Source organism: Homo sapiens, chromosome 2, assembly GCF_000001405.40.
Source record: "Homo sapiens chromosome 2, GRCh38.p14 Primary Assembly".
Lineage (NCBI taxonomy): Eukaryota > Metazoa > Chordata > Mammalia > Primates > Hominidae > Homo > Homo sapiens.
The window spans coordinates 99306009-99329431 of record NC_000002.12 but is presented as its reverse complement, the minus strand read 5'-3'; the positions used below and the strand labels follow the sequence as shown (position 1 = coordinate 99329431).

General features: G+C 42.0%; 1 protein-coding gene and 1 long non-coding RNA gene across 4 annotated transcripts in view; one reads left to right on the top strand and one right to left on the bottom strand.

Moving 5' to 3' along the window:
* Positions 1–23248, top strand: part of TXNDC9 (thioredoxin domain containing 9) — a 30150-nt gene extending 6902 nt beyond the window's left edge. Inside the window, exons 3-5 of one of the 2 annotated variants that reach the window (XM_017003147.3) lie at positions 1779–1897; positions 7223–7477; positions 22647–23248. In XM_017003147.3, the coding sequence (XP_016858636.1) occupies positions 1779–1897; positions 7223–7477; positions 22647–22659 (387 nt within the window). In that variant the 3' untranslated portion in view covers positions 22660–23248. Of the gene's footprint in view, positions 1–1778; positions 1898–7222; positions 7478–9632; positions 10451–22646 lie in introns of those variants that run through there. The other variant, NM_005783.4, reaches the window with a different exon arrangement.
* The window catches only part of LOC107985923 (uncharacterized), a 35693-nt gene continuing 19918 nt past the window's right edge, over positions 7649–23423 (bottom strand). The window contains exons 1-2 of one of the 2 annotated variants that reach the window (XR_007087151.1): positions 21953–22360; positions 7649–8306 (exon numbers count right to left, since the gene is read on the bottom strand). This is a non-coding gene — a long non-coding RNA (uncharacterized LOC107985923). Of the gene's footprint in view, positions 8307–21952; positions 22361–23423 lie in introns of those variants that run through there. The other variant, XR_007087152.1, reaches the window with a different exon arrangement.

Sequence of the window (23423 nt, the reverse complement as noted above, 5' to 3'; positions counted from 1 at the left end):
TTGGACCCCTTCTGGAGGCTGGATTCAGACCTCTGTCACATTTTAAGAAGACATTGGTGAATTAGAGTGTGTTTAGTTGATATCCTGGAAGAGTAGGAACTCTAGAAATCTTTTCATATGAGAACAGTTAAAAGGAACTGGAAGTGTTCAGTGTGGAGAAGGGAAAACTTAGGCAATATGTGATGTTTGAAGGGCCCACGTGGGAAAGAGATTAAAACTTTAATCTTTATCCAAGCTGGAATCCACAGACCAGAATTATGGATATATTGCAGTTCAGTGTGAGATGACCTTTCTAACAATTAGTGCAGGTATAGAGACTTTTTAAGCATTTATAAAGTGGTTATCAAAAGCAGACAGGGCTCTTGAGCTTCAGAGCTGCAGTATCCTCCTTTTCTCCCCAAGACGAATTGGGTTTATCTCATAAGCATTATTTTTATTTTTATTTATTTTTGAGACAGAGTCTCACTCTGTTGCCCAGGCAGTGGCGTGATCTCAGCTCACTGCAACCTCTGCCTCCTGGGTTCAAGCAATTCTCCTGCCTCAGCCTCCCAAGTAGCTGGGATTACAGGCGCCTACCACCACAGCTAGGTAATTTCTTGTATTTTTTTTTTTTTTTTAAGTAGAGACGGGGTTTCACCATGTTGGCGAGGCTAGTCTGGAACTCCTGACCTCAGGTGATCCAGCCGCCTCAGCCTCCCAAGGTGCTGGGATTACAGGCATCAGCCACTGCACCCAGCCTCATGAGCATTATTTTTAAAAGACTTGTAGTAACTTGGATCAAATGCTTCTGGTTTTAGTAGTTTAAGAGTACATGGATAGAGTTAAGTGGATATTTACATTCTGAGTCTCTCAAGTCTAAATTTTTATTTTGAAAGTTCTGAGAAAATAGATGTTTTAAGCTACAAAGACAGGTAATTGTCTTGAACCCAGGCCATGCTGTGGAGACGTTCACTGTCCGTAGACTAGTTTTGCATTGACAGTAGAAACAGGAAAGTAAATTGCTAAAAAACATTCATTTTTCTTTGACTTCAGCCAGGCACAGTGGCTCATGCCTATAACCCCAGCACTTTTGGAGGACAAGGTGGGAGGATTGCTTGAACCGAGGAGTTTGACACCAGCCTGGGCGATATAGTAAAAACCCCGTCTCTACCAAAAAAAAAAAAAAAAAATGCCAGGCGTGGTGTGGCATGCGCCAGTGGTCCCAATTCCTTGGGAGACTGACGTAGGAGGATCTCTTGAGCCCAGGAGGTTTGAGGCTGCAGTGAGCTATGATCATGCCACCACACTCCATCCTGGGCAACTTTAGCAAGACCCATTCTCAAAAAAAAAATAAATAAATAACACTTTTGGGCCGGGCGCGGTGGCTCACACCTATAATCCCAGCACTTTGGGAAGCCGAGGCAGGCGGATCACAAGGTCAAGAGATCGAGACCATCCTGGCCAACATGGTGAAAACCCATCTCTGCTAAAAATACAAAAAGTAGCTGGACATACTGGTGCCCGCCTGTAGTCCCAGCTACTCGGGAGGCTGAAGCAGGAGAATTGCTTGAACCCAGGAGGCGGAGGTTGCAGTGAGCCAAGATCGCGCCACTGCCCTCCAGCCTGGTGACAGAGCAAGACTCCGTCTCAAAAAAAAAAAACAAAAACAAACAAAAAAAAAACTTTTTTTTTTAATTGACTTCATTACAAAATACGATGGTGATTTGGACACTTAAAATGTCAAGTGGTTCTGAAAGAGATATCTCACATGTGTAATGTTTTGCCTCTCTCCAAATTAGGAATGGCTTTCTAAAGGACATGGGGAATACAGAGAAATCCCTAGTGAAAGAGACTTTTTTCAAGAAGTCAAGGAGAGTGAAAATGTGGTTTGCCATTTCTACAGAGACTCCACATTCAGGTAACTTTGTTTCCATCTGTGACTTTTTCTAAAAAAACACAGTGAATTGTTTGGCTGGAGATATACTGGCTTACTAGAGAAATGAAGAAAACTAAAAGAAAAAACTTCCTAAGTTGTTTCATTGTACTCTCTCATATGTTATTTAGTATTAAGTTAAGCAGGCAGGGGCCCAGTGACTCAAGCCTGCAATCTCAGCACTTTGGGAGGCCAAGTGGGGGGTGGATCACTTGAGGTCAGGAGTTCAAGACCAGCCTGGCCAACATGGCGAAACCCTGCCTCTACTAAAACTACAAAATTAGCCGGGTGTGGTGGCAGGTACCTGTAGTCTCAGCTACTGGGGAGGCTGAGGTGGGAGAATTGCTTGAACCCAGGAGACAGAGGTTGCAGTGAGCGGAGATCGCGACACTGCACTTCAGCTCGAGCGATAGAGTGAGACTCCATCTCAAAAAAGAAAGAAAAAAAAAGTTAATTGTTATTTTAAAGAGTAACTTAAAGAACAGTTACATGCAAAAGTATAAATGAATATTACTGAAAGTCAATATTCCCATATAAATGGCTTATATTTTTGAATTGTATTTTCACTAGCTAACTAAAAACATCTTAGAAATGTACACTTAAAATTCTTATCACCATGACAGTAATTATTTCCCTCTAGTATTGTGATGTAGCCATGATATTGGGAACGGGCAACAGCTGTTGAGAGTCAGTGTTCCTTCAGTTCCTCCTTGAAGGAACTAGCAACTGTGGTGGGGAGATGGTGGCTTGGCCAAACCTTTCACCAGAGCAGAGTTGGGACTGCCAGTCTTGGCTAGAAGGAGAAGTGATTTTTCTTAGACCACCCTAGGTCTCCAAATTTCTCTAAGGAAGCAGATCTCTTATAAAATGTTAATACCTCCTCAGAAGAGGTCACATCGTAAACCAAAGGACCCAAGCCTTTGTGGTTTTTTGTGCACAGATTTGATTAGTTGCCAACACTTAAAAATCGAGAGATAACTCCTTTTGAAAATATCCACACTTAGAATTTTTCTTTAAAAAATCAGAAAACTTGCTAATAGCATAGCTGGAACTATGATGGCAGTCATCTGCTGACTGGCACCTGCCTACCCAGGACAGACAAGCACTGTGCTCTAGAGTCTCTGGCACTCACTGTGGTTTCAGCCCTGCTCTCTTTCTCATTTCTGTGGCCTTCTTGCCCCTTTGTCTTGATCTCACAACCCAACAGCTTCATTGTTAGTTAACACCTTTCAAGAATTGATTGCCTGGTATTCATTGACTAAGAGAATAAAAATGAAACAAAATATTGAGATGGTGAAATCCCTTGTGAGGAACAGTGAGAGAAGGGATTAGGCAGGTAGAAAGGTATCAGAGAAACCTCTGCCCTTATGGTACACAACCATCTCGCATTGGCACACATTCCTCAAGTTGCCAACCTCTGACAAATATGATGAGGTGATATATAAATATACTAGTATGTAAAATATTATTTGTCCACTTGTTTTTTTTTTGTTGTTTTTTTTTGTTTTTGAGACAGAGTCTTACACTGTCACCCAGGCTAGAGTGCAATGGCAGGATCTTGGCTCACTCCAACCTCCACCTCCCGGGTTCAAGTGATTCTCCTGCCTCAGCCTCCCGAGTAGCCAGGGCTACAGTCACCCACCACTACACCCGGCTAACTTTTGTCTTTTTAGTAGAGACAGGGTTTCTCCAGATTGGCCAGGCTGGTCTCAAACTCTTGACCTCAGGTGAACCACCCACCTTGGCCTCCCAAAGTGTTGGGATTACAAGTATGAGCCACGGCACCCGGCCTCACTTGTTTTTTTTATGTCTTTCCCAACTAGATTGTTCGTTTTGTAGAGGCAGCGCATTTGCCTGTATTGTGACCTACTGTTCTCTGGGATCATAGCCCTAAAGCAACTGCCTGACGCATAGTAGGTGGTCAATAAATACATTTGATGGTGTATAAACAGTGCATCACCAGGAGTACTCACCTTCAAACAGAACTGAAAAATCAAAATCATCCAGTGAACTTTATATATTAGCAAAGTTCCTAGCACATAGTAGGCAGGATGCTTTCATGTATATTATCCCTAGAACATTCACAATAATCTTCAGAGGCACTTATTATTATTCCTGTATTTCATGTATGGAAACCAAGATTTGGAGAAATTGACTCACCTAGTATCACTCAGATACTAAATGATAAAAAAAAGAGAGAGATTGGAACCCATGTTTTAAGCCTATTGCTATTTTTTTAATTTTTAACTTTTGTGGGTAGTAGTAGGTAAATATGGGGTACATGAGATATTTTAACACAGGCATGCAGTGTTTAATAATCACATCAGGGTAAATGGAATATCCATCACCTCAAGCTTTTATCCTTTGTGTTATAAACAATCTAATTATGCTCTTTTAGTTATTTTTAAACATACGTAAAGGCCTATAGCTATTTATACCATGACTGTTGTTTTGGATTTTTAAAAATTGATTGACGGGTTGGGCGCCATGGCTCATGCCTGTAATCCCAGTACTTTGGGAGGCTGAGGCAGGTGGATCATGAGGTCAGGAGATCAAGGCCATCCTGGCCAACATGGTGAAAACCCATCTCTACTAAAATACAAAAAGTTAGCTGGGCATGGTGGCTCGTGCCTGTAGTCCCAGTTGTGCAGGAGGCTGAGGCAGGGGAATTGCTTGAACCTGGGAGGCGGAGGTTGCATTGAGCTGAGATCGTGCCACTGCACTCCAGCCTGGCAACAGAGCAAGACACTCTGTCTTGCTCTTTAAATACAAATTAAAATTAGCCAGGCAATGGTGCGGGTGCCTGTAATCCTAGCTTCTTAGGAGGCTGAGCCAGGAGAATTGCTTGAACCCAGGAGGTGGAGGTTGCAGTGAGCAGAGGTCGTGCCACTGCACTCTAGCCTGGGCGACAGAGCGAGACTCCATCTCAAAAAAAAAATACGTTCCTTACTGCAGTTAAAGTATGGAGTTGATTTATTTACAAATTTTCAGGAACATATTTCTCATATAAAGGTTGATTTATCATTTGTTTTGAGCTTTATTTAAAAACCATTTATTAATTTGTTCTCTCTTACCATTTTTCACTGAAATCTCGTTACTGAACTACATGAGTAACATATGAAAAAACATATCCGGGGAAAAAGTGATGAGGCACCAAGGTTACACATAACTTATGTTAGAGCCAAACTTAGTTCAGGAAAAACTACATCAAGTGCACAAAAAGCTTACTGGTAAAAATAACCATGAAGTATTTTGTGTGTGAGTCATCTAGAGGTAGTTCTCAAGCTTTATTTGAGCATAAGAACAGCTGTATGTTTCCCAACTCCACTGCCAGAGAATTTTGATTCATCTGGATATTTTAAAAGTTGACGGCAGGCTGGGTGTGGTAGCTCACACCTCTAATCCCAGCACTTTGGGAGGCTGAGGCAGGTGGATTGCTTGAGGTCAGCAGTTCAAGACCAGCCTAGTCAACATGGTGAAACCCCATCGCTACTAAAAATACAAAAATTAGCCGGGCGTGGTGGCAGGTGCCTGTAATCCCAGCTACTCGGGAGGCTGAGGAAGGAGAATCGATTGAACCCAGGAGGCAGAGATTACAGTGAGCCGAGATCGCGCCACTGCACTGCAGCCTGGGTGACAGAGTGAGAGTCCAACTCAAAAAAGATGAATAAATAAAAGTTGATCATAATGAACACCTGGGGTTAAGAACCACCGGTCTAAAAGATTGTTACAATAGTCTGTTTTAGAAACACTCGTGAATTGGCCAGTTGAAAATGAATTTTTTGAGACAGAGTCTTACTCTGTCGCCTAGCCTGGAGTGCAGTGGTGTAATCTTAGCTCACTGTAACCCCCACCTCCCAGGTTCAAGTGATTCTCGTGCCTCAGCCTCCTGTGTAGCTGGGATTTCAGGTGCCCATCATGACGCCCAGCTAATTTTTGTATTTTTAGTAGAGATGGGGTTTCACCATATTGACCAGGCTGGTCTTGAACTCTTGGCCTCAAGTGATCTGCCCGCCTCAGCCTCCCAAAGTGTTGGGATTACAGGCGTGAGCCACTGCATCAGGCCAGAAAATAAATTTTAATGTAAAGAAGATGTCACTTTTTTTGTTTGTTGAGATGGAGTCTCACTATGTTGCCCAGGTTGGAGTACAACGGCACAGTTTCGGCTCACTGCAGCCTCCACCTCCCAGGTTCAAGTGATTCTCCTGCCTCAGCCTCCCAAGTAGCTGGGACTACAGGCATGCACCACCACACCCAGCTAATTTTTGTATTTTTAGTAGAGACAGGGTTTCACCGTGTTGGCTAAGCTGGTCTCAAACTACTGACTTCAAGTGATCCGCCTGCCTCAGCCTCCCAAAGTGCCAAGATTACAGATGTGAGCCACCGCACCTGGCCAAGAAAATCTCACTTCTGTTTCCGTCTTCATTGGAAGATGGCTTAATAAAAGTTACTACTGGTAGGCTGGGTGCAGTGGCTCACGCTTGTAATCCTAGCACTTCGGGAGGCCGAGGCAGGCGGATCACAAGGTCAGGAGATCAAGACCATCCTGGCTAACACAGTGAAACCCCGTCTCTACTAAAAATACAAAAAATTAGCCGGGCATGGTGGCAGGCGCCTGTAGTCCCAGCTACTTGGGAGGCTGAGGCAGGAGAATGGCATGAACCAGGGAGGCGGAGCTTGCAGTGAGCCGAGCTTGTGCCACTGCACTCCAGCCTGGGGGACAGGGCAATACGCCACCTCCAAAAAAATAAAAAATAAAAAAGTTACTACTGGTATTTTTTAATTTCCTAGAAGCATAATGGCCACATTTATTTAAATATTATTAGTAACCCTTAGCCTTAATGTGCTTCTTACTGACAGCGTTGCATATTTAGGAGTAAGAAGTTTTTCCTCGGTAATGCTGTTCAGTTTTTCTTCATGACTTCCAAATATGGCACCATGTGTGCACTTCTGATTCTTGTAAGTCTCTTCCGAGTTTTGTCAAGTTTCAGTTTGTTCCTCTTCAAGTTTCCTGTGTAGGAGATAGGACAACTTCCTTTATGACTTAAAGCATATATTTAATATTTTAAAAGAGAATATCATTAATGCAAATCTGACTTTCTAGAATCTTATAGGCTGTTTTCCCATCTCGTAATCAGGCAGCTAACCTCTGATCTGGAAGTGAGGTCATCTGACACAAGTTTAAGTTGGCTGCCATGTTATGAGAGTCAACAGAAAAACTACATAATTAGATTTCCCTTGATGATATTTATTTTGAAAAAAGCGATCTGTGGTTTTAGCTTATAATTTTCTATGTGTGGTCACTTACAGGTGTAAAATACTAGACAGACATCTGGCAATATTGTCCAAGAAACACCTCGAGACCAAATTTTTGAAGCTGAATGTGGAAAAAGCACCTTTCCTTTGTGAGAGACTGCATATCAAAGTCATTCCCACACTAGCACTGCTAAAAGATGGGAAAACACAAGATTATGTTGTTGGGTTTACTGACCTAGGAAATACAGATGACTTCACCACAGAAACTTTAGAATGGAGGCTCGGTTCTTCTGACATTCTTAATTACAGGTAACTTTTAACAAAAGAAGAGATTGATTTTAATTCATATATAGTTGATATTTTTACAAAAGATTTTTGTATTGTAACATTTATTTTATGAAATTAAGGCATTTTGGCTGAGATGTGGAAAGTTTCTCAAAGGAAAAGCATGTTTTTTTGAAGTGTGTAATATTAGCGTGATTTTACGGCAAAATCAGATTTACAGATTAAACTGATTTAATAGGTAAAACTGAGTCTCACCGTACTCCTGACTATAAAAGTTTTCAGCTTAACGTATACTATTGACACTAATTTTGTATTAATCTGGAAACTTAAAATGGCAATCCAGTGTTGACTATTCCCCAATTTAAGCCAGATTGCTCAAATGAATTCTGACTTAAGTGATTCTCTTTGATAAAATAAAAATTAAAAGCAGACTCTTGCAAAGAAAGTTATATTTTAAAATACTAGATTTTTAACATGGATATTTCTGTTTTACTTATAGAGGCTGATGAATAGAAAAAGGTTTCTATGCCTAGCTTACATTGCTTGCTATGAAGAACAGTTTTAGTTTGAAAACAATCTAAAATCCAACTTCCATTTCTTTGTCCACTTCTTCAGACAAATAATTTATCTAATTCCACAAATCAGAGCATATCATCTTGTCTTTTTTGCCTTTTCTTGATTTGCAAAAGTAACAGGTAAAATTGTGCACTTACCATTCCAGAGTCATGGTGCCTTTCAGGAAGTAGAAGGTTCTCTCACGTTTTTCTTTCTCCCCCATTTCCCTCCCGTCTTTTCTCTGACTCTCCTAGACATGCCGAAATCATTCCTATGTTGTAGAAATTGGTTTCATTTCCTTAATATTAACATAAAATATTAATATTTATTAAATAAAGTTATATATTTTGAAGTAATTTTAAGCCTTAAACAAATTGCAGCCGGGTGGGGCACTTGTGTAATCTCAGAAGATTACAGACTTTGAGAGGCTGAGGTGGGAGAATCAGTTGAGGCCAGGAGTTTGAGACCAATTTGGGCAACATATAGTGAGATGAGACCTCGTCTCTACAAAAAACTAGTAGAAACAACCCCCTGCAGACTAGTACAACGAATCCTCATTGACCCTTTGCCCATATTACCCAATTTTAAACATTTTATATTTGTTTTATCATTGTCTTTATAGATACTATGAAGTATTTTGGGAACCATTTGAGTGGAAATTGTGAATACAGTGTCCCTTTACTCCTAAAGACTTCCATATATATTTTCTAAGAACAAGAACATTTTCTTACGTAGCGACAGTACAATTATTGAAACAGGAATTATTGTGTAATTTACCGCTCTTATTTCAAGTTTTCTCATTGTCCCAATAATTGTCCTTCATACCAAAAATGCAGCACATTTAGTTATTACGTCTTTAGTTACCATTGTTATTCTTTGGTTCTTAAGACTGATGTTTTTGAAGAGTACAAACTGTTTATTTTGGAGAACATCTCCCAGTTTGGGTTTGTCTTAAATTTCCTCAAGATTAGATTCAGATTATCGATTTTTGACGGGCATATTATGGAAGTGATGCATCATATCGGGAGGTGTGTGATGGTTTCTCTCATTTCCGGTGACAACTGAGCACTGTGTTAACCAAATGTTAATCCATAATTAATGATAAAAAGGAAAATAGGTCTGGTGCAGTGGCTCATACCTATAATCCCAGCACTTTGGGATGCCAAAGCAGGAGGATTGCTTGAGCCTAAGAGTTCAAGACAAGCCTGGGCAATGTAGTGAGATGTCATCACTACAAAAAATGTAAAAATTAACTGAGCATGGTGGCACACGCCTGTAGTCCAAGCTACTCGGGAGGCTGAGGTGGGAGGATCGCTTGAGCCCAGGAACTGGAGGTTGCAGTGAGCTGTGATCACACCACTGCACATCAGCCTGGGCCACAGAGTGAGACCCTGTCTCAAAAAGAAAGGAAAATAAAATTGATCTAAAACATTCAGTAGGACACAATAAGGTTTAAGGCTATTAACCATCAATATCAATATAAGCATTATACCTCTTCCCTGACACCAGCATTTTAAAGAAATTTTATTCTATGTTACAGGAAGAAAACAAAGATAGATTTTTGTGCAGTTTAGTATACTAGTACTAAATCATAAAGAATAAAATGCTTTTTTTTTTTTTTAAGTGGAAATTTAATGGAGCCACCATTTCAGAACCAAAAGAAATTTGGAACAAACTTCACAAAGCTGGAAAAGAAAACTATCCGAGGAAAGAAATATGATTCAGACTCTGATGATGATTAGAGCTCAATAATTCTTTGTAAATTGTCTTTTTTTTTCTGCTTCAGATTTAAATGTGTTTTTAAAATTCTATTAATGTCTATACATTGGTCACCTAAATACTCATATTCTCGAGTTTTATACAGTTGTATCACATCGAAAAGTGTCTTTACTGTTTTCTGTGTGGCCATCATGTTTAAGTTGAGGAAAACTCAGTTCTTAAATTATCTGGGAAGGGTCTGGATTCTCTATTTTTGAGATTGACTTTATCACAATATGATTCTTACATCTTTATACCATTTACAATTGTGTTTTAGATCTACAGAGTTAGAAATTCGAAAACTATTCCAGGACTAATTCTTAATCGGCATTATTTATACAAGAGGTCAAGTAACATTTACTAGCGCAATACTGCACTTGTAAATGAATTATAAACGCTCTTCTGGAATATATTTAAATAACCATTAAAGAACTGCTTATTCATTCTGGACACTGCATGTTGATGTTGAATCAACTGATGCCAGCAGAAAGCTATTTTGATTTGTGAACATACTGCCTTATTTAAAGGGTCCTGATTGCTTGTATTTTAAGACATTCATTAAAAAGAAACCAGGAAACACTTTTGAAATAACAGCATAAGGAACTTCACTGTCTCTGCTCAATAAAATACCTGTAACTGGAAGTTTATGTGGAAATTGTCATAAAAGCATACATCCAACAAAAACAGTTTTTCAAGAAAGTCAATCTTTTAGAATAGGGAGTCTGTGGCATTGGAGCCATGACCCCATTCCCTCTCTCCAGTTCCCAATCCTGGACTACAGTTTCTCCTCTGGAAGAGTAGATTATTAGCATGCCTCATTCCCTGAAGCTCTGTGTTGCAGAAGCCCTTTTGCAAGCAAGAGTAGCCAAGAGGTTTGGCACTCCTTCCTCCACCTAGTCCCCACTTACAGCACAGAAACTCTAACCCAGGAATATCAGACTGAGAATACTGGGCCTTAGTTGCTTTTGCCCCAGCTTACTCATAGGATGAAGGCTCTTTACTCGTACGTAGAGTGAAGGTTCCATGCAAGGAGATGCACTTGGAGGAGACCAGGGGTTATATCACCCCTTTCCCCCTTGTAGACTGTGAGTATAACTCCTAGAAAAGCAGGCCACTGTCCCCACCCGTAGCTCTGGAGCAGCAGAACAGAGGTTCTGTCCAGTGGAAATGGCAAGTCATAAAAACAGCTCTGGGCCGGGCACGGTGCCTCACGCCTATAATCCCAGCACTTTGGGAGGCCGAGGTGGGTGGATCACAAGGTCAAGAGATCAAGACCATTCTCGCTAACTTGGTGAAACCCCGTCTCTACTAAAAATATTTAATAAAGGGACTGACTAGAATAGAATGAGGGAAGATGTTGAAGTGTAAAGGTGCCACCAAATACGTTGGATCTGGGGAGGGGAGCAATTAAGAGCGTATTGACAGCTCCCTGATGGCAACAAGCAAAAGGGAATGCCAACAAGCTCAACAGAAAGAGCCTGGCACGGTGGCTCACACCTGTAATCCCAGCACTTGGGGAGGCCAAGGCGGGCAGATCACTTGAGGTTAGGAGTTCAAGACCAGCCTGGCCAACATGCTGAAACCCTGTCTCTACTAAAAGTTTAAAAATTAGCCAGGCATCATGGCACGTGCCTGTAATTCCAGCTATTCAGGAGGCTGAGTCATGGGAATCGCTTGAACGCGAGAGGCAGAGGTTGTAGTGGGCCAAGATCACACCACTCCACCCCAGCCTGGGTGACGGAGTGAGACCCTGTCTCAAAAAAATAGAGGCAGCTGTTATTAGTCCTAGGTTTAAGACAAGCCTCAAAGATACTCTACAGGGGCCTGAATTTAACTGGATTAAACTGCGGCGACTTGTGCCCCAGAGCATTGTCAGAAACAAAAGAGTGGCCAGGTGTGGTGGCTCATGCCTGTAATACCAGTACTTTGGGATGCGGAGGCGGGAGGACCACTTGAAGCCAGGAGTACAAGACCAGCCTCGGCAACATAGTGAGACCCTGTCTCTATAAAAAATGAAAAAAAAAATGAGTGGTTAGCTAGTAAATTAGTGGGTGCTAATAGTAGGATGTGATAACAAAAGAGGTTCTAACTAACTAGAACCTTTCCCGAAAGATCAGGAAAAGGTAAAAGAGAGCCCTATCAAAACCACTGTCCTTGGGGCTAGAGGGAGTAGTCATGGTGACTGCACACGCCCAGACTGTACTCTGAGGAGGGACATCAGAGCCTGCATACTTCAGGGTAAGTGGACTTAACTGAAATCATCCAGCCAAGAAACTAAACAAGAAGAAATGCGCTGGAGGGCAGAGGGTAGGGGTTGGAGGGAAATTACTATCCAGAGCTGCTGTGACACAGTGTCTAAAATATCCAGTCCTCAACAACAAACTACAAGACATACAGAAGAACAGGAAACTAATCCATACAAGGAGCGAAAAAGCAATCAAAGGAAACTGAGAGGGTCAATAGGTTGGAAGCAGATAAAAACTTCAAAGCATTATTATAAGTGTGTTCCAAAAAAAACTAAAGGAAACTGCTGGAAGTAAAGGAAGGTATGCTTACAATATTCCATCAAACAGAATATCAACAAAGAAAGGAATTTAAAAGGGCCAAATAGGCTGGGCGCGGTAGCTCACGCCTGTAATCCCAGCACTTTGGGAGGCCAAGGCGGGCGGATCACGAGGTCGGGAGATCGAGACCGTCCTGGCTAACACCGTGAAACCCCGTCTCTACTAAAAATACAAAAAATTAGCCGGGCGTGGTGGCGGGCGCCTGTAGTCCCACCTACTGGGGAGGCTGAGGCAGGAGAATGGCGTGAACCCGGGAGGCGGAGCTTGCAGTGAGCCGAGATTGCGCCACTGCACTCCAGCCTGGGCGACAGAGTGAGACTCCATCTCAAAAAATATATAAAATAAAATAAATAAAAGGGCCAAATAGAAATTCTAGAGTTCAAAAGTAAAGTAACTGTAATGAAAAATTCATTAGAGGAGCTCTACAGTAGATTGTGTTCACAGTAGAAAGAATCAGCAAATTATTGGAAGAAATGATGCCTGAAAATCAAATATTTGATGAAAACATTAATCCAAGATCAAGTTGTAAGATAACATAGAAAGATGCATACCAAAACTATAGTGAAAACAATGAAAGAAAAAAATCTTGAAAACAGAAAAAAAAACTACTCATTGTGTATAAGAAAACCCATTGGCCCAATGCTGTGGCTCACTCCTGTAATCCCAGCGCTTTGGAGCTTGAGGCAGGAGTGCTTGAGGCCAGGAGTTCAAAACCAGCCTGGGCAATATAGTGAGACCCCATCTCTACAAAAAATTTTTAAAAATTAGCCAGGTGTGGTGGCATCCACCTCATAACTACTTGAGAGGCTGAGGCAAGAGGATCACTTGAGCCCAGGAGTTTGAGGCTACAGTGAGCTATGATTGCACCACTATACTCCAGCATGGGCAACAGAACAAGACCTTGTCTCTATTTTGTTTTTTGTTTTTGTTTTTGTTTTTTCATTTTTCAGTGTTCTTAAGTTTAAAACAAAAAAAAAAAAAAAAGAAAAAGAAATGCAAAGCTTTATTTTATGAGTCAGAGGACTTGATACTAAGTCTTAAGATTGTAATACTGCCCCTGCCAAGTTAATCTGCAAATTCAACAAATTCAAAAAAACAAAAACCTCCACTCCCAGATACCTTTTTGCAAAAATTGACAAGTTGATCTTAAAATTTATGTGGACCCAGAGTAGCCAAAATAATCTTGATAAATAACATATTTGGAGTACTCACTCGGATATCAAAACTTAGGGCAAAACTACAATTATAAGACAGGCATAAAGATAAGCGAAATAAAAGTCCAGAAATAAACCCTTGTGTTTTGTAGTCAGTTGATGTTTGGCAAAAGTTCCAAGACAATTCAAATGGGAAAGAATAGTCTCTTCAACAAATGGTTTTGGGACAAGTAAATATTGACCCCTCCTTTATGCGATATACAAAAGTTAAACTCGAAATGTAACAAACACCTAAATATAAGAATTAAAACTATAAAACTCTAAGAGGAATATCTAAGGGTAAATCTTCACGACTTTGGGTTACACAAAGCCTTGTTGATGTGACAAGTCACAAAAGAAAAATAGATGAACACCAAATATAAAAACACTTGCTGCAATTGATACCAACAGATTAGAATAACAACTCAGAATTGGAAAAATATTTGCAAATCATATATCTGATAAAATGTATCCGGAATGTGTAGAGAATTCTTTCAACCCAATAAAAAGAATATAAATACCCAATTTAAAAAATGAGTAAAGGGGCCGGGCGCGGTGGCTCATGCCTGTAATTCCAGCACTTTGGGAGGCCAAGGCGGGCAGATCACGAGGTCAGGAGATCGAGACCATCCTGGCTAACACGGTGAAACCCCGTCTCTACTAAAAATAAAAAAAAAAATTAGCCGGGTATGGTGGCATGCGCCTGTAGTCCCAGCTACTCAGGAGACTGCGGCAGGAGAATGGCATGAACCCAGGAGGCAGAGCTTGCAGTGAGCCAAGATCGCGCCACTGCACTCCAGCCTGGGTGACAGAGTGAGACTCTATCTCAAAAAAAAAAAAAAAAAATTAACCAGGCGTGGTGGTGGGCGCCTGTAGTCCCAGCTACTCGGGAGGCTGAGGCAGGAGAATGGCATGAACCCGGGAGGTGGAGCTTGCAGTGAGCCGAGATCATGCCACTGCACTGCAGCCTGGGCGACAGAGTGAGAGTCCGTCTCAAAAAAAAAAAAAAAAAATGAGTAAAGGATCTGTACGTCTTCCCAAAAGAAATGGACAGTTGGGCAGTAAGTACATGAAAAGATGCTCAAATCATTAACTGTCAGGGAAATGTAAATCCAAACCACAATGACATCCCACTTTGCACCAGCCAGGATGATTATAATAAAAAAGGCAGACAACATGGTGAAACCCCGTCTCTACTAAAAACACAAAAATTAGCTGGGCGTGGTGGCATGCGCCTGTAGTACCAGCTACTCAGGAGGCTGAGATGGGAGAGTTGCATGAACCCAGGAGGTGGAGGTTGCAGTGAGCCAAGATCGCGCCACTGCACTCCAGCCTGGGTGACAGAGTGAGACTCTGTCTCAAAAAAAAAAAAAAAAAAAGGTGTAGTATTTGCATGTAACCTGCCACATATTCTCCTGTACACTTTAAAACCTCTCCAGATTATGTATAATACCTAACACATTGTAAATGCTATATAAATAGTTGTTATACTGTATTGATTAGACAATAATGACAACAAAAAAAGTCTACACCTAATAGGTACAGACAAAGCCAGATATTTTTCCTTTTCTGGAATATTTTCCATCTGCTGTTGGTTGAATCCACAGATGCAGAACCCAAGGATATGGAGGGCCAAAGAAGCATTTACAGAGGAAGGACAGTGTAGATTCATGAAAACTAAGGAAGGAGATTTGAAACAGGAAGACTTGATTCACAGTTTTAAAGGCTGCAAAGGAGGTAAATTGAAAAAAAGACTAAGAGGCCATGTGAAGGTCATCAAGCATCATCCAGAGAGAAATTCCGCAGAGCAATCAGTGCAAAATCCATGTTTTCATTACCAAAAACCAAAAACTTTATCACAGTATGATATGAACTTACCTATATGAAGTCTTTCAGTGGCCCCAAAACAAATCATATATATTTAATGAATAGCCATTATTGAAAAAATATATACTAAAAAGTAACTACACTGGAAAACCCATGATGTATTGTTACTATTGTAATTGGGAGAGAAGTCAGATGTTAGAATATTTTAGGAATGAAATAGGTCAAAAGAAAGAAAAATGTGAAGGATATGAATAAACAGAGAAATGTAGGAGGGACAAAAGGACACCCTCTTTAAACTGTCAATGGCAGGCTAGAACTGTTTGTGCTTATGAGGACTTGGAGTCCCTGCAGAGGTCAGGGTGGCTTCTAACATTGTATGCCCACCTATATTTCATCAGGCTAACAATAATTTTGATGGCTGATCTGCTGAGAGAAGATTTTTTTTAAGAGACAGGTCTTACTCTGTTGCCCAAGCTGGAGTGCAGTGGTGGTCATAGCTCACCATAACCTCAAACTCCTGGGCTTAAGTGATCCTCCCACCTCAGCTTCCTGAGTAGCTAGGACTACAGGCATGTACCACTGCACCCAGCACAAGATGGTCTTGATTACAGGCATTTATTTAGGGATACAATTTAAAATGACTGACTTTTATAACCCTATCACTATATATCACCATATTCTAAATGTCTAGGGAAAAGTAGGGGGAAAGACTGGATTAGGCCAGGCATGATTACCAGTAATCTTAGCACTTTGGGAGGCCAAGGTGAGAGGATTACTTGAGGCCGAGAGCTCAAGACCAACCTGGCCAACAAAGCAAGACTCTGTCTCTATTTCAATTAAAAAATAGAAGAAGAAAAAAGACTTGGTTGGCAGTTTTGTTTGTTTTATTGTTGTTGTTGTTGTTTTTGTTTGTTTTTTTGAGACAGAGTTTCGCTCTTGTTGTCCAGGCTGGAGTGCAATGGTGCCATCTCAGCTCAATGTAACCTCCGCCTCCTGGGTTGAAGCAATTCACCTGCCTCAGCCTCCCGAGTAGCTGTCATTACAGGCATGCGTCACCACACCCGGCTAATTTTGTGTTTTTAATAGAGATGGGGTTTCTCCATGTTGGTCAGTCTGGTCTCAAACTCCTGACCTCAGGTGATCCTCCTGCCTCGGCCTCCCAAAGGGCTGGGATTACAGGCATGAGCCACCGTGCCCAGCCTTGGTTGGCAGTTTTTACCATTAATTATACAATTATTTTTTCTGATTATGAAAGCAATAAGGCATACAATGTCAATCATTAAGGAAATATGAAATATGTAAAATAAGCATGTTCTCTAGTCTCATCTCCACAGATAACTTCTTTCAAGATTTGATGCATTTCTCCCAAATTTTTATTTTCTAGACATACACTAACATTTGTCTTTGTTAAAATGGGGTCACTGAGTACATTTTATTTTGCAACTTGTTTTTTTCCCATTTACCTGTACAGCCAGCACATTTTCTTATGTCATCACAGTAGTGCCACCTCTCTAATTAATGCAAAGTGTTCTATTGTGCAGATGGTACATATGAAAATATTTTCTTTCTTTTTTTTTTTTTTTTTGAGACGGAGTCTCATTCTGTTGCCCAGGCTGTAGTGCAGTGGTGCGATTTTGGCTCACTGCAACCTCCACCTCCCGGGTTCGAGCAATTATCCTGCCTCAGCCTCCCCAGTAGCTGGGAGTACAAGCATGTACCATCACGCCCAGCTAATTTTTCGTATTTTTAGTAGGGACGGGGTTTCACCATATTTGCCAAGCTGGTCTTGAACTCCTGACCTCAAGTAACTCACTCACCTCAGCCTCCCAAAGTGCCAAGTGAAATATTTTAGTGGGAAAATGTCCACAGAATAAGGGGTGTGGGCTTGGTCAGTGGAGAGTGGTTGAAGAGGTGAGAGGGAACCAAGGCTCTTCCTGCTATTTCTTTGCTAGGGCTGGCCCCTTTAGGGGCTTCCCTTCCCTTAGAGATGACTGCCAGGGTCTTCCATCCCTACTTTCTGCCCCTTCTCTGAGGGGCCTGAGCCCCCTCAGCCTCCCAGGTTCATCCAAACAAACAACTTATGGCCTTCATAAAACTGTCTGATTAAATGTGTATTATTATTTTTCCTTTTTTATTATACAGGATATAAATGCTTAACTCTTTTCATGTATTTTTAAACCAACTGACAAATAATTTTGAGCTTGTCATTAGCATCCTTGGGCTAATATAATAAAACTTTGTTACTTAAAACTATGGTTTTCTAAGTTTTAAATTGCATAGCAACAATAAGGATCTGATCATAAAGACAAAAATCAGGCTGGGCATGCTGGCTCATGCCTGTAATCCCAGGGGATTGGGAAGTCAAGGACAGAGGATGGCTTGAGGCCAGGAGTTCGAGACCAGCCTGAGGGCTGGGCATGGTGGCTCATGCCTGGAAGGCCAAGGATAGAGGACGGCTTGAGGCCAGGAGTTCAAGACCAGCCTGAGGGCTGGGTGTGGTGGTTCATGCCTGTAATCTCGTCTTTGGGAGGTCAAAGCCGAGGATCACTTCAGCCCAGGAGTTCGAGACCAGCCTGGGCAACATAGTGAGACCCCCTCCCCCACCATCTCTACAAAATATTTAAAAATTAACCGGGCATGGTGGCACGCACTTGTAATTCTAGTTAGTTGAGAGGCTGAGGTGGGAGGATCACTTGATCCCAGGAGTTTGTGGCTGCAGTGAGCTGTGATCACACCATTGCAAACCAGTCTGGAAGACAGAGAGAGACCCTGCCTCAAAAAAAAGGAGGCAGGGGGACCAGCCTGGGCCACATAGGAAGACCCCATCTCCACAAAAGATAAAAAAATTCTCCTGTGTCAGAAGACCAGTTGGAAAACAAAATTTAAACATTAGCCCAGTGTGGTGGCACACACCTGTAGTCCCAGCTACTGGGGAGACTGAGATGGGAGGTTCACTGGAGCCCAGGAGTTTGAGGTTACAGTGAACTATGATTGTGCCACTGCACTCCAGCCTGAACAACAGAGGGAGATCCTGTCTCTTAAAAAAAAAAGACACAAATTACAACTAAAGCAGGGTGAATCTCTTAAGTAAAGGGAAAAATTCTGATCAAGAAGACTGGAAACAGCTGGGACTAGCCTTTGCCTCTCAGGAAGGAACGGAGAAAAGATTTTGGCAAACGATGGCCAAGAGGCAGCAGAACCCCTCCTGCAGTGGTTCATAAATGTGGCTGCGTTGCCCACTGCTGCTGTAAAAATTACCACAATGTTGGTGGCTTAAAACAATGTAAGTTTATTTTTTTTAATTTATTTATTTTTAGAGACAAGAGTCCCTAGCGCCTGGCCCCTTCCCTCTATCTTCAAAGGCAGCAAGAGCTGGTTCCATCTCTGTGAAACTGACTCTTCTGCCTCCATCTTCCACATTTAAGGGCCCACCTTGATAATTCAGGATATCCTATCTCTTTTAAGGTCAGATGATGAGGAACCTTAATTCCATCTACTAACTGGAGTCTCCTCTGCCATGTAACTTAACATGTACATAGGTTCCAGGGAGTAGGCTGGAATCACATTAGTGATTCCAATCATTCTAATGAGCAGCCATTGAAAACCACCGCTCTGGCCAGGAGTGGTGTCTCATGCCTGTAATCCCAGCACTTTGCGAGGCCAAGGATCCAGCTACTTGGGAGGCTGAGGCAGAAGGATTACCTGAGCCCAGGAGTTGGAGGCTACAGTGAGCTGCCGTGATTGGGCCACTGCATTCCAGCCTGGACAACAGAGTGAGACTCTGACTCAAAAAAAGAAAACCCCAAAATCTTCTGCTCCAAAGAGATCATATATTCTATTTCTACACATGTACCTGGCACTGCCATGGATGTGTTTATTCTGTACGTCCCATTTAACCTTCTCAAAGACCTATTTATTTTTAGTTAACAAGTAACATTTACATGCCAGGCATTGTGATGAGTTAGTTGTGCTACTATTGTCATGATCTTTCACAAATATTTTATTTTGAGTAATCATCACAACAACCCTGTGAAGTAGGTACTCTTTTTATTCCCATTTTACAGACGACAAAGCCGACTCAGAAATTTGCCCGAGGAGGCTGGGTGCAGTGGCTCACGCTTGTAATCCCAGCGCTTTAGGAGGCTGAGGCAGGTGGATCACCTAAGGTCAGGAGTTCAAACCAGCTTGACCAACATGGTGAAACCCCATCTCTACTAAAAATACAAAAATTAGCTGGGCGTGGTGGTACATGCCTGTAATCTCACTACTCAGGAGGCTGAGGCAAGAGAATCGCTTGAACCTGGGAGGTAGAAGTTGCAGTGAGCTGAGATTCTACCACTGCACTTCAGCCTGAGCAATAGAGTGAGACTCTGTCTCAAAAAAAAAGCAAAAAGAAAAAAGAAATGTGCCTGAGGCCATGAAGATAAACCATGTCGGCCAGGCTGGTCTCGAACTCCTGACCTCAGGTGATCCACCTACCTCAGCCTCCCAAAGTGCTGGGATTACAGGCATGAGCCACCATGTCCAGCCCCTGGGTTTTTTGCTTTTTCTTTTCTTTTCTTTTTTTTTAATTGAAACAAGGTCTCACTCTGTCTCCTAGGCTGGAGTGCAGTGGCCCAAAATTGTGGAATCATCTCACCATTATAAGCCTGTAAGAATGTCTCATTAGATTACTCTTTAATTTTTAAAATTGTTTTAATTTTTTTTTTCGAGACAGAGTCTCACTGTCACCCAGACTGGAGTGAAGTGACATGATCTCGGTTCACTCCACCCTCGACCTGCCTGAGCTCAGGTGATCCTCCTGCCTCAGCTTCCTGAGTAGCTGGGATTACAATCGTGTGCCACCACGCCCAGCTAATTTTTGTATTTTTAGTAAAGACGGGGTTTCGTCATGCGGGCCAGGCTGGTCTCAAACTCTAGGGCTCAAGCAATCCACCTGCCTCAGCCTCCCAAAGTGCTGGGAACCACCAGCACCAGGCCTATTTTAAAGCTATTTTTAATTTTTTATTATTTGTACTTTTTAATTTTTTAAAATTTTTGTTTTAATGTTTTTAAATTTTTTTAATATTTATTTTACTTTGGCCAGGCACGGCTGCTTACGCCTGTAATCCCAGCACTATGGGAGGCCGAGGCGGGCGGATCACGAGGTCAGGAGATCGAGACCATCCTGGCTAACATGGTGAAACCCCGTCTCCACTAAAAATTAGCCAGGCGTGGTGGCGAGCACCTGTAGTCCCAGCTACTTGGGAGGCTGAGGCAGGAGAATGGCATGAACCCGGGAGGCGGAGCTTGCAGTGAGCCAAGATTGCACCACTGCACTCCAGCCTGGGCGACAGAGCAAAACTCCATCTCAAAAAAAAAAATTATTTTATTTTAAAAATGTTTAAATTTTTAAATTTGTTAAAGGCCTTTCCAGTTGAATCACATCGTACTCATCCTCCTCTTGTTATTCTAATCTTCTCCCTCCCTACATACACACACACACGTACACACACACACACACATGCATGTACAGCAACATTCCAGCCCATTGCCTCACAGATTGCTATGCACCAACAGGCCTAAAATTAAAATAGTAATAGCAGTGTAGTCACAAATATAAAATAATATAAAATTATTCTGCCACTAAGATCATGTTTTCTTGAGAAAAATACAACTTTTTAGAGCAAAAATATAGGGCAGCAACAGGAAGGCTCATTTTAAGCTGTTATGCTGTGTAGAGCTGCACCTTCACATGGCCTGTGAAAATACCTATTCACTGAATTTGGATTGTAATCAATAATTACCAGCCTAGAAGACCTCTGAAAGTTTGATCATTTTCTTCCCTCTGGGCAGGCAAATCTTCCCTGCATAGAGACACTGTGAGCTGGAAGGGAGTTCCTTCTCTCAGTGCGTCCTCTGTGCCTGCTTTTCCCATTTGCGTTTTTGAGAGTTCAGAACTCCAGGAAGGATCATCCTATGCTGGAGATTTCCCCATGAATGTTTCCTTCTGCACAAAGAGCAAATCAGAGAGACTTGGCCCCTCTGTTCCGTCTATGGACTCTAGAGGTGTATCTGTCTTTTTAGTCTGTTAGCCGAGGCTGTTAGACATGTTGGCCTTAGTTCTTACACAGCTTGCAGAGAAAATAAGACTGTTATAGAACCAATACTCATGGTCTATGGGTTAATGTAGCATTGGCAAGACTGCCCATGAGGGCAGGCAAGGGATTTACCGTCTGGCAAAATACAAACACCTTAGTCTTTTGGCTTTCAGTTAACAAATATGACGTCGCATTTGGCCCTATTACAGCTACAGTTAAGTGCACACACATTTCTTTTCTCCCATTATTCGATTTGCACATGCTCACAAATCCAAAAGTAATGACATACTTGCATTAAAAGATATCTAAATTTTGATGAGTGTTGTAATGAACAGGAAAAATTATTCTATCATCTACAAATCTTTTCAAACTTGGGTTTTCTTTGCAAGGTCCTTAAGTTTCGCCTGAGTCCAATATTTCTTATGCAGCAGAGACACAATCATTGCCAACTGATCACCATACACTGGATTTTCATCCTCAATAAGCCCGAGTGTAAGATCCATGCCTCTGCTTCACACTCACCTGTCTTCAGTCAGTGCTCCTCCTTAGAGGTGGTGAGCCCACAGCGATTTATATAGAGTCCTGTTCTCTTGTTAAAAGTGTTCATCTCATCCTATTTTGGAGAGATTTATGACATCTCATAAATTATAATAATAATCATAATAATTGTAAATACTTTGAACTTATATAGGGCCTTTTATTCAAGAATGTCCTGGCATTTTGCAAACATTAACCAATTTGTTTCTTGCCATACCTCAGAAGGCAGATCCTAGTTGTAGTTTAACTTTGACACATTGAGGTCCAACACTTGTCTTTATTCACATCATTTTCTGGGAATGTGGGTTAGGTAAGAAAACAAGGAAGGAAGAGAGAGAGAGAAAGAGAGAGAGAGTGAGAAGGAGAGAGAGAGTGAGAAGGGGAAGGGAGGAAGGGAAGAGGAAGGGAGGAAGGGAAGGAAGAAAGAAAAGGAAGAAGGAAGGAAGGAAGGGAGGGAGGGAATTGAACTTGGTGTGTCAGAAACTCATTATTGGTTTGTATTTCAGGTAAGCAGAGCGCCTAGACCAGGGGTTGGCAGCTTTTTCTTACAGGCCCAGACAGGTTTTTGGGCTACGTGGTCTTTATAATGCCTCTGACATTGTAGCATGAGAGTGATCATAGATAATATTTAAATGAATGGCCAAGACTGTGTTCCAAAAAAACTTTCTTTACTACACAGGTGGTGGCCCTAGGGCCGTAGGTTGCTGGCCCCTGTTCTGAACCACCGAGAGATACCAGTTCACATGTCCTCAGTTCAGCAATGTGGGGAGAGATGATCGGCTGGATGATGCTATTTTACAGACACCCAGGACCTACAGCATGTTCCAAATGTCTACATCAATAAGTACTTTGAGAGGGTTCATATGAAGTTTCCAGGAAGGATTCCTTCCCAAGTTGTGGAAAGGGTGCATTTCACGACTGAAAGAGGGAGCCCCCTCCCTCACCACACCCTGTGCCCCAGCTCAACTAAGCAGCTTGATTTTCCCCAAACACAGCGCCATTCTTTGCATTAGGCCTTCCTACAGGCTGTTTGCTTTTTATCTAACCCCTCAGGGACAGGGGCTGTGTCTCAGAAACTTGTGCTATGAGCCACCATGTCCCTGGCTTGTCCTTTCAGACCTCCTGGATCCTCACTTTTTCAAGAAAACGTTCACACTTGTCTCAAAGTCTTATTCTTGACTCTGTCATGCTGAGTGGGTTCAATGTCCATTTAGATGGCTGGATTCAATTCTCTGGTCTCTCCTTTTTTGTGTGTTTTTTACTTATAAGAAATCATGAGGCAGGGTGTGGTGGCTCATGCCTGTAATCCCAGCACTTTGGGAGGCTGAGGCCGGCGGATCATGAGGTCAGTAGATCGAGACCATCCTGGCTAACACGGTGAAACCCCGCCTCTACTAGAAATACAAAAAATTAGCCGGGCATGGTGGCAGGCTACTGTAGTCCCAGCTACTCGGGA